The sequence below is a fragment of the Homo sapiens genome, chromosome 7 (genome assembly GCF_000001405.40).
Source record: "Homo sapiens chromosome 7, GRCh38.p14 Primary Assembly".
Lineage (NCBI taxonomy): Eukaryota > Metazoa > Chordata > Mammalia > Primates > Hominidae > Homo > Homo sapiens.
In genome coordinates, this window is record NC_000007.14 from 8,085,046 (window position 1) to 8,096,915 (window position 11,870).

At 41.7% G+C, this 11,870-nt stretch overlaps 1 protein-coding gene and 1 long non-coding RNA gene across 2 annotated transcripts in view; both read left to right on the plus strand.

Annotated features, from left to right (window-relative positions):
• The window catches only part of GLCCI1 (glucocorticoid induced 1), a 120,285-nt gene extending 116,250 nt beyond the window's left edge, over nucleotides 1-4,035 (plus strand). The window contains exon 8 of the mRNA NM_138426.4: nucleotides 1,148-4,035. Within this exon, the coding sequence (NP_612435.1) occupies nucleotides 1,148-1,493 (346 nt within the window). The 3' untranslated portion in view covers nucleotides 1,494-4,035. The remainder of the gene's footprint in view (nucleotides 1-1,147) is intronic.
• Nucleotides 6,159-10,642, plus strand: LOC105375142 (uncharacterized). The gene is made up of 3 exons (XR_927015.2): nucleotides 6,159-7,823; nucleotides 9,103-9,226; nucleotides 10,542-10,642. It is a non-coding gene; the product is annotated as an uncharacterized LOC105375142 (long non-coding RNA).
• Nucleotides 10,643-11,870: the final 1,228 nt, after the last annotated feature.

Below are 11,870 nucleotides of genomic sequence, written 5' to 3' on the forward strand. Positions count from 1 at the left end.
ATCTGCAAAGCTGTAAAGCTTTTTACTGAGACCAGTTGATTACATATGAATCAACTACTCTATCCAGCTGATAATGTGTTTCAAGAGCAAATTATGTAAAGAGAATTGAATAGGCAAGAGAGATCTTACTGAAGGAGAACTGGAGTCTGTATGTTGGAAATGTATAAGCCAGTACAAAGACACGTGGAAACTTATTCTTACTACCTGAAAAATCTATTTTTAATCATTAAGAATTGTCATTTCAGGAACTCTTAGTTTAGATGGTAACAAAGAGACTTTAGGAGCAAAGTTAATATCCGTGTGTGACTAGCTTAAAGACAGTGTACTCCACAAGCCAGAAGATTAGTCTCCTTCCCTGTAGCCTCATCTAGCTTACTTATTCAGACTTTCTGTTCACAAGGGGTTTGTTATCTTCATGAAATTTTAATATGTGTAAGTTAGAAATGAAATTAGAAAAAGAGGTTCTTGCTGTAAACACTGGGCAGAGTAGCTCAGAAGAAGACTGTGGTTCTTGGATGCCCTCATGCCTTTGTTCCAGTGCAGGTGCCTAGTGGAGGGTGCAGTGCTCTTGCAACATAGAAGGACCCATCTTGCAGGAGCTGATGGCTTAGCTCCTGGGAACGGGAGGAGAGGAAGGGCTTGTGGACCCAACCTCTGTTGAATTGACTGGCTTTTTGAGAGACCACTGAAACTCCCCTCCCCACTCCACCCCCCATCTGTGCTAGCGGAAGTCTATCTAGAAAGAAAAAAGGAGAAAGTGTTTAAATACGTGATGGACGAATGCCCCCTGCCTCTGGTATACTTTTTCTTAACAGAAAAGGTCATTCTAACTTTGCATAATCTTCAATTATAATGTAGAAGACTTTTCCACCTTCCTAAATAATTAAAAGCAAACTAATGATCTCTAAATATTTGCCTTCCTGGTTCTTTTGAAAATCCTTTTGTCTCAAATACCACTTCAGTGCTGTGTGCATGAATAGTCTGCCAGCTGACTTGTGCTATGGAAGATGTTTACCCCTCTGTATACACTTAACCCATCTCCTGCCATTTACATTTTAGCTGTTTTAGAGAACTCCAGTTAATTCAGAAAATGCTTAACTTTTTCTGTGTTCATGATTATAAATCTAATTTTGTTTTATGGTTTTAGGTCTCGTCAGCCTATCTCGGCCCCTCTCTTTTCATGTCCTGACAAAAACAAGGTTAATTTCATCCCAACCGGATCAGCTTTCTGTCCTGTAAAACTTCTAGGCCCCCTCTTACCTGCTTCTGACCTTATGCTCAAGAACTCCCCTAACTCTGGCCAGAGCTCAGCTTTGGCAACTCTGACCGTTGAGCAGCTCTCATCCCGGGTTTCCTTTACGTCTCTTTCTGATGACACCAGCACAGCGGGCTCCATGGAGGCCTCTGTCCAGCAGCCATCCCAGCAGCAGCAGCTCCTGCAGGAACTGCAGGGTGAGGACCACATCTCTGCTCAGAACTATGTGATCATCTAAAAAAGGGGGAGCTGGCCTCCACCCTATGTTCCATGGATTCGGAACAAGATTTCAGACATCTGCATGAGTGACAAACTTTCTGAACACCACCACCACCAATAATACTTATCAGCATCATAAAGTATCTCTTAAACACTGATCTTGGCAGGGACGGAACTCCTATTCAGCAGTTTTTGTGGAAAGCAGTAATGCTTGCAAAACGTGTGTGTCATTCAGCATTTTAAGTGGAGACTATGCATTTCATAGTATATTTGACAGATTAGTACTGTGTCCTGTGTTTTGTTCCAGATTCTTCAGTATAAATAAGCTCTATATCAAAAAGTTGCCTGTCTAAATAGAAAATGTCTTGCTGTGTTTTGTCCTATGGAAAATACTGTAATTCAGGATTATGTTTACAATTGATCCAGGTGTTTGTTTCTAACTTCTGTAATACATACAATGCAAAAAAAAAAAAAAAAAAATGGCCACAACAGTTGCACAGTGCCCACCCTATGGCCTAGCTTCAGGTACTTCAGTTGAAGTCTAAACTCAGGTAACTTGGAATGTATATCATATTGGGATATTAAATATTTCACAGCTAAAAAGCTAAAGAGGGAACATCACTCTTTTGCCTTTCCTTATTTTATGCATTTCCCTTTCCTCATTACATTCCACATTCTTAGAATAAGAAGTGCATTCAATCCTAGGAGAATGATAATCCTGGACATGGGTGAACATGAGGAGAACCAGCAAAATCTGTGGTGTTTGACATCACTTTGTCATGTGGTTACAAGTAAAACAACTGTTGCATTCACTGTTTCAACATGTGTACATGTGGCTTTTTTAAAAGTTCAGGTGTTGCTCAGTAAAGGACTGTGACAATGTTGCAAATAAAGTGTTCAGTACTGGACTGTACATAAACATTCCACATTGTGTGTGATGAAATTTAAAGACAAGAATGTCTAGAGTTAATTTCAAAATAAGTGAAGTGTTTGACGGAATGGTTGAGATTTTTTTGTTTATGTTAGCCATCAGGGTCATAACTGTTACCATTTTATCTAAAGACATATTTATATTTAGTTTCTCCCTTGGAAATTCTTTATTTTGCAGGTGAAAAAGTGACATACTTTTTGTTATTGTCTTCCTCAAGCAGTTTAGGTGCATGATCTTCATTTACATAGAATACTTGGGTCTCAGAATTGATGCAACATAAGCAGGTTTTTTTGGTGACTTACAAGAGCAATAGTTTGAAGCTATCTCATTTAAGCCTCTCATAATGCATAATCATGAGTAGTTTTGAAATTTGCAACCTGTGAGGTAGAGCATAAACTCAAGAAAATAGCCTTGAACTTGCAGACTTTTGACACAAGTTCTCCACAAAGTGTGAAGAGAGCCCCAGGCATTCCTGATTGGTCAATGGGAGAGCCTAACTTTCATTGTTTTCTTCAGTACAAAGAGTATCCAAAAGCTAAGTTTTTGTATTCCACTACTTTCAGTTCAATAAAACCTAGAGTTGTTTCATCTGCGCCTAAAGTGTATGGCACAATTTTCTTAAGAATTAGGGGAACCAGGTGCCTACAGTTAAAGGAACGTTTCAGTTCCTTTCATTCATTCCTGGGTTTTTCTTTTATTTTCTAAGAAGGTTGAAGAAGGATGAGTGATAGAGAAGAAAGCAACACCATTGATTTTTTTTTTTAAGAAATGATATATATATGTATATGTTTGTGTGTGTGTGTGTGTGTGTGTGTGTGTGTATTCTGTGCATTATTTTGTCATGATCTCAATTCTCTTCTTTCCACCAAAGTTTGTCGTAATATTTTCTCCTGAAGGTGCATTCTGGCTCCTTTAAATTAGTCAGTGTTATATTGTAGGAGACTGTCATGGAAAAAAGGACTCAGTTTACTTTCGTCATTTTCACAGGGGAACCTTTTAAAACAATCTTTTCAGCAGCAGATACCTTTAACCCTAATAATCTCAGGCCTTGATGAAAATACTATATTTTGTAGATTATGGTTAAAGGGGGAAAATTACTAGTTCCGTAAGATAAATATGAGCTCCATTTGACTTCTGATGTCTGGTTTAGCATTACATAATATGTTGATCTTACACTCTGCTTTTGTCCAAATAAAATGCAATAGTATCAATATCAATTTCAGAAAAATGGACTGAATATGCTTTTTTGGTGATGAAATCTCATGTACGATATTTATAGTGATGTGCTTTTATTTTCTCATGAGATACTAAATATTAATTGTGTTGTACATTTGTTCTTAGCATATATTAAAGTTTTGAACCAAATGTGTTAAAGCTTACGCTTTGCCATGTAAATTTCCCAGAAGTTGTTGAGCTCAAATGTATCCTACATCCAGCTGTAGAAATTTGTCAGAAATTGTTTAAATTTTGTATATAATTGTACTGTTTAATTCTAGCCATTGCGCTGAACAGTATTTGAGTTACCATATAATATGGCTTTACACAAGGAAATGTGTGGCTTTTGTTTTGTATTTTTTCAGTATAGAAGTTCCTGTGTCTTATTTAAATAAAGTTATTAGTAAAACTGAAATAGTTCACACATGTTTTTGGAAAGACTGGGGTTGTTGGCTCGTTACCCGACAGAGAGAAATTCAGCTCAGGTTAATGGTAGTTTTCTGTACTCATTGAGTTCCTGGCCTGCATGTCTGGAGGTGTGGGGTGTCTAACTGGATCAGATTTCTACAACCTGGCTTCCTCTTGGCATTTAACTTACACACTCTCCATCACAAGGTGAGAAGCTAGAGGTCTTAAGTTCCAAGTCTTGGTACTGTTCCCAGGTATGATCACATTAAATAGAGAAAACATTGTTCTCACATCACTTTATACCTCAGAATTTATAGAAATGAGTTTAAATTCAATGAAATCATTTCAGAGGAAGTTGCATATTTCTTGCAAGCAAAGCTGCAGCAATAAAATTTAATTTTTTACTTTTTTATTTGTTTAGATTCAGAATAAGGTGGAGAAAAGCTTTACAAAACAAAGGAGGGTTGACATCATGCCCAGTTATCCAGACATGGATATGGTCTGGTAGGCCATATGGTAGCGTGAAAGCAAGAACAAAACGCTCTGAGAAATAATTTATCAGCAGACTGTTGTTCACTTCCAAAGCGCATCTCAAAGGGATAAGATTTGATCTTTAAATTGAACTTAGAAGTGACCAGTAGCTGTGGTTTTGGCTGAGAAAAATAAAACGTAACTTTTTAAATGGTGGGATGTATCAGCTGTGTTAATGTTATTTAGGCAGGAAATTTTCTACTTTATACAACTTTAAATTTCCATTGCAAGTGAATTCATGTGAAGGAAAGTGGAATTCCTAGCCCCATCTCTTCTTGACTCGATCATATAATAAGTAATATAAACAGCCCTGAGAAGTTAATACAGTATTTGCAAAATCAGACCTCAGGAACAAGGAGGGGAATATTAGTCCTAAGAACTTGCGTGTTGTAACCCTATGCTAACCAAAAATAATCACTTGAAGTTTATTTATGAATATTGCAAACTGAGGGGTTACCCCCATCCCTCATCCTCCATCCCACAGTGTAAGGTCGCATCTAGCTCTGAAGTTTCATTGTCCCCTATATATTCTCTACCTCTCTCTGGGAAGCTTCTAACATCTACCCTGCTCTCTGATATGCACAAGTCTCGATTTCCCCCTGTACACTCACTCTTTTGGTGAACTCATGGTTCTTTGGAGCTGTAGGAGCCTTATGAAGATGGATCCCCTAATTCACATGTTGATTCAAAATCCCACTGCTGTAGTCTAGACCAACAGTTCCAATTGTTGAGAGAACATCTCCTCTCAGACTTCTTGCCTTATCTCAACCTTAGTGATTCAGTGGAATAAAGACACTGTCTTACCCCCTGTTGGACCAAGCCAGCTCTCCTTTACATTCTTATTTCCAAAGATAAGGACTGTTTCTTAAATCTCTCAGATTTGCTTTTCTGTCTTCCTGTTATCTCACCACTGAATTTTGAGGTACAGCGACATATAATGGTGGCAGATCAGAGAGCCATGACAACTTAGATGAATTTCTGTGAAGACTGTAATAGCAAGGAACCAAAGTCACTGCGTATGTTAGACTTCCACTAACCTCTGTAGCTATAAGACCAGGGCCAAACAACTGTTCCTGGGCCAAATCCAGCCTGCTGACTGTGTAAATAAAGTGTTCCTGAACAAAGCCACACTCATTTGCTTATGGAGTGCCTATGGCTATCTTGCAGCACAATGGCACGGTTAAATAGTTGCAACAGAGAATCTGGCCCACAATGCCTAAAATATTTACTCTCTGGTTCTTTGCTGACCTCTACTGTACACCAAAGAGCAGACTGGAGACTAGGTATAGGTAACTTGTATCATATATGTAGTTGGGTTTTGTTTTGTTTTGTTTTGTTTTAGTCAGAGTCTCACTCTGTCGCCCAGGCTGGAGTGCAGTGGCACAGTCTCGGCTCGCTGCAACCTCCATCTCCCGGGTTCAAATGATTCTCCTGCCTCAGCCTCCCGTGTAGCTGGGATTACAGGCACCTGCCACCATGCCGGGCTAATTTTTTGTATTTTTAGTAGAGACGAGGTTTCACCATGTTGGCCAGGCTGGTCTCGAACTCCTGACCTCGTGATCTGCCCACCTCAGCCTCCCAAAGTGCTGGGATTACAGGTATAAGCCACCGCACCTGGCCTATGTAGACGTTTTAAAATTTTTTCCATAAATTATTTTATACTCCTCCCTTCAAAAGGTAGAGCTTAATTTTCCTCTCAAGTGTGGGTTGATTTGCTTCTTATCAACAGAATATGGCAGAAGTAATGGGAAGTCACTTCTAAGAACAGGTTATAAAAAGACTGGTTTTGTCTTGGTATTTGTTCTGTTGGATCACTTAGTTTGGGAGAAGCTATATTGGGAGGATACTGAGAAAGTTTATGGCAGGACCCTATGGTGAGATTATGGAGGCCCCGACCTCCTGCCAAAAACCACAAGGAAGCAGATCCTTCAGCTCCAGCCAAGCCATGAGACACCTTGAGCCAGAAACCACCCAGATCAACTGGATACCTGCTCCAACGCCCCTGGATACCTGACCCTCAGAAACTGTGTCAAATAATAAATTTTTGTTATTTTAAGGTGACAAGTTTTGGGGTAACTTGTTACATAGGGTTAGAGAACTAATACAACAGCCCTCTCTTTCCCCCATACACATCCCATTATTTCCACCATCACCTAGAGCCTTGCCATATAAGTCTGTCCTCTGGGTCCAGAAAATGAAGCTTGCTCTTTTGGAATGGATATGGCTTGGCAAAGCCCTTTTGGAGTAGGTCTAAGACAAAGCTTTTTCAACACAAAATTTTGTTTTTTGAACAGTTTGCATGTTAGAAAAGGATTTCCTATGGAAAATGATGCAAGAAGAAGCAGGATAGGTGATCAGTTTTTAGAGCTGAAAAGAATAAAAGGCAGAATTTCACAAGAAAAGGAGGAATATCTCCACCTCATATGTCTTTTAGTTAACAGGAGGCTGGTAACCCACTGGTTCTAAAATGACCTATCTCATTCCATATGCATCTCTCAAAGAGGAGAGTAAAAATAATTTTTTTTCCCAAAGGCTTTAGATCAGTTTGGTGATGGGCTCTCTCCTGCATAACAGCCATTTTCTTAACACTAAGAATTTGAACAATTAGATCATTTTTCCTCCAAAAGATTTCCTGATAACAAAGAGTAGATCCCCTTTCGCACACCACAAATTCTACTCAAGTCTTGGCATCTGCTTTAAGCATGACATTGATGACATTCCTTTAGTCAGAACTGGGCATGACTCTGCAGGCAATGGATGTTATTTCAAACCACTGTCTGGAAGCAAGATGGATAAAGGTGGGTACAGGGCTCCACAAGGACCTGCCAAGTGAGGAGAAGCGTTCATGCTGGAAAAGCAAACCTTTTCTTAGGTTTTCTTTTCCACTTTGTAAACCAAACAGGTTACACTCAAGGGACAGGACTTAACAAAGGACACTGCTCATGTACTGCAATAAACAGCCTGCCATTTTTCATACGGACTGGAACTGAGGCAGACAGGGTAATCTTAGCTGACTCTCTGTTCACCTGCCCATTTGATTCCAGACAAACACCTGGTGTGGTTTCTCTCTCCTGCTTCCCTTCCCAGTGACCACTCTGCAGCAAGCCCCGGGAGCTTTGTATGAAGAAGCTATTCCTTTTCAAATCCCTAACCCTTTCTCCTGATTGCTCCTCCAAATCTGTGGCCAGTGCAGCAAGTCCTGTGAAGACAGTAAGGAGGTAGCAGGAGGAGGCTAAAAATGGTGACATCAAGGAATAGAAACTGGTGAGTGAGGGAAGTAGAGTGTTGAGGTGAGCTTTCATAATATTCATACACCTTTTGAAATATTTGATTTTTTTTTCTTAAAATGAGCATGTATTCTTTTTGTAATGTTTGGTAACATTACAATGTAAAAGACAAGGAAACAACATGACCATTCTGCAGAACTGTGAACGGCCCTGTTCCCTCTGCTGGTTCCAACTTCTACCCATCAATTTATCATCAAATTTGCAGCAGAAAGGGGATACAACTTAGCTGACTGCTTTATATATGACTAATATGAAAGAAAGGTGAAATTCAAAGGAAGTGATTAACATGAAAATAAATGTTTAACCTCACTAGTAATCAAAGCAACGCAAATTAAAACAACAATTTGGCAGGGCGCGGTGGCTCATGCCTGTAATCCCAACACTTTGGGAGGCCAAGGTGGGCAAACCACTTGAGGTCAGGAGTTCGAGATCAGTCTGGCCAACATGGTGAAACCCCTTCTCTACTAAGAATACCAAAATTAGCTGGATGTGGTGGCTCACGCCTGTAGTCCCAGCTACTCGGGAGGCCAAGGCAGAAGAACTGCTTGAACCCGGGAGGTGGAGGTTGCAGTGAGCCGAGATTATGCCATTGCACTCCAGCCTGAGCAAAAGAGTGAGACTCCCTCTCAAGAAAACAAACAAAAACCAACAATTTATTGCTTTTAAATTGGCAAAGAACAAAAAAGGAAGGATAATAGTGCTAAAGGAGGCTGGAGATATACTCTTACATCTGCTATTAGAAGGATACGCTGGCACATGCTTTCTGAACAAGTGGGGCAGCATTTATGCCAAGTGACAAAACAGCAGGTCACAAACCAGTGTGATCCGTTTGTTTTATAAAAATACATATATGTGTGGGGAAAAAAAGGATGAATGTAAACAAAAATAGTAGTGTTAGTAGTGGTTACGGGCCAAGTGCAGTAGCTCACTCCAGGAGTTCTAGCTACTTGGGAGGCGGAGGCAGGAGGACCGCTTGAGCTGAATTTAAGGCTACACTCCAGCTTGGGTAACAGAGTGAGACCGTGTCTCAAAAAAAAAAAAAAAAAAGTGCTTATCCTGGGTAGATAATTTTTTAACATTTGCTTTTCTGGTTTTCTAAGTATTCTCTAGCAGCACCCGTTAACCTTGTAATTTGAGAGAACATGCATGTTAATCTCTAAATATCAAAGGACAGAAAAAGTAGGGAGGGAAAAAAAGGAAATGGCAGCAAGACAATTTTGTTTTAATGAAAATGACTGACATCTCTTAAAATCCAGGTGGCTTAAGAGAAGGCTTGGTAGAGTGAACTTTGGCTCGGTGGGAGAATCCTAACATGGCATAGTTTCAAGCTTTATCTCCCTTCCCAGAAAGAAAACGGTCCCAACATCCTCACACTGTAAGGTAAGCAGGATTAAATTATGTAAGCCTGGAATGGGGTTGAAAGTGTCTTTGGGAAAGGCTGCAGTTTTAGTTCAAAGGACAGAGCATTTTCTGGAGTGTGGCCCATACTGACAGCCTTCCACTCAGTTGAGATGGGTTTGTGAAGTGGGCACCAGGGAGTCCAGAAATCTGTCCTCTCATTTATGCTTCTTGAACTGCCTCATCTAGAAAATTAAAAGGGACTCCTTGCCGCAAGCAAACTGTAGATGCCTGAAAATGGCCAAGAGATCATTCTTGACTGTGATTCATATTTCTAAGCACACTTTTTATTGCAGGTTGTTTGGTCTGGTTTTACAGAGATTGCCTAATGTAGGTACATGTGAGATGGACATTGATCCTTTGGTCATAGAGGTGGTTACCTTAGAATTTGTATTAGGAAGATTGGGAATACCAGCATTGAACAGGCTGCACAGGATACTTTGAGAATTACCAGTGTACAAGACCTTGGGCCCCTTTTATTAATCTTTGCATCTGTAGCTGGCATAAGCCAGGGGCACGGAAAGCAACTTGGGGATTCAGACATTTGCTTATTTCTCCTTCTTGGCAAGTTTCTGCCCCTTATTCACTAGGTCTCTAAGAACTAGGTCTCAGCACAGTGCCATCTGTGATTTTGGTCAGCTGGCAGGCCGCACATATGTCCCTCCCACATTCTGGAACCCACAGGCAGTGTGGCATAAGAAGAAATGGTCCAGACGTTGGCATCAGACAAGGGTGAGGGATGGCTCTGTGAGCGTGGGAGTCTTTATTTATAAAATGGAGATAATTATTCCATTCCTTAATTAGAATAATAAAATGGAAAGGGTCGGCAAGCTCTCTGGTGTCTTCCACACAGACACTAATTCTTTTGTATCAGGACTCCATCTTTATGACTTCCTTGTACCTTAATTACCTCCCAAAGGCCCTATTTGCAAATACAATCACACGGCAGTGGGGGGTGGGGGGCTGGGGGGTGGGGGGGTTGGGGGTGGGTTATGGCTTCAACATATGAATTTGGTGGGGGTGGGGTGGGGTAAACAATTTAGTCCATAGCAAATAGGTACTTCCATTAGGTAGATGCAAATTAAAACCACAATGAGATATCACTTCACACCCACTAGGAAGGCCATAATCAAAAAGACAGATAATTACAAGTGTTGGTGAGGACGTGGAGAAATTGGAGCCCTCGTGCATTTCTGGTGGAAGTGTAAAATGGTGTACTTGCTTTGGAAAACTGTCTGGCAATTCTGCAAAAGGTTAAATGTAGAGTAACCATATGACCAAGCAATTCAATTCCTAGGTGTATACTCAAGAAAGTAAAAAGACTTAAAGATGGTTGAGGGCAGATTCAAGATGGCCAAATAGGAACAGCTCCAGTCTGCAGCTCCCAGCCAGATCGACAACAGAAGGCAGGTGATTTCTGCATTTCCAACTGAGGTACCCAGTCCATCTCATAGGGACTGGTTGGACAGTGGGTGCAGCCCATGGAAGGTGAGCCAAAGCAGGGTGAGGTGTCACCTCACCTTGGAAGCAGAAGGGGTTGGGGAATTTTCTCTTCTACCCAAGGGAAGCCATGAGGGTCTGAGCCTGAGGAACTCCGGCACAGATACCGCACCTGTCCCACAGTCTTCACAACCCACAAACCAGGAGATCCCCTCCAGTGTTTACACTACCAGGGCCCTGGGTTTTAAGCACAAAACTGGGTGGCCAACTGGGCAGACACCGAACTAGCTGCAGGAGCTCTTTTTTTTTTTTGAGATGGAGTCTTGCTCTTGTCTCCCAGGCTGGAGTACAATGGCACGATCTCAGCTCACTACAACCTCTGCCTCCCGGGTTCAAGCAATTCTCCTGCCTCAGCCTCCCAAGTAGCTGGGAATACAGGTGCCCACCACCACACCTGGCTAATTTTTGTATTTTTAGTAGAGACAGGGTTTTGCCATGTTGGCCAGGCTCGTTTTCAACTCCTGACCTCAGGAGATCCACCCGCATCAGCCTCCCAAAGTGCTGGGATCACAGGCGTGAGCCACCATGCCCAGCCTCTTTTTTTTTTTTCTATACCCCAGTGGCGCCTGGAATGCCAGTGAGACAGAACTATTCACTCCCCTGGAAAGGGGTGCTGAAGCCAGGGAGCCAAGTGGTCTGCACCTCAGCGGGTCCCACCCCCATGGAACCCAGGAAACTAAGATCCACTGGCTTGAAATTCTCACTGCCAGCACAGCAGCAATCTGAGATTCACCTGGGACTTTTGAGCTTGGTGCAAGGAGGGGTGTCCACCATTGCTAAGGCTTGAGTAGGTAGTTTTTAAGGTTACAGTGTAAACAAAGCTGCTGGGAAGTTCAAACTGGGTGGAGCCCACTGCAGCTCAGCAAGGCTGCTATGGCCAGTCTGCCAGATTTCTCCTCTCTAGACAGGACATCTCTGTGAAAAAGGCAGCAGCCCCAGTCAGGGGCTTATAGCAGACTTAAACGTCCCTGCCTGAAGTCTCTGAAGAGAGAAGCAGACCTCCCAGCACAGCATTCGAGCTCTGCTAAGGGTCAGACTGCCTCCTCAAGTGGGTCCCTGACCCCCGTGTATACTAACTGGGAGACCCCTCGTACAGGAGAGCTCTGGCTGGCATTGGGCAGGTGCC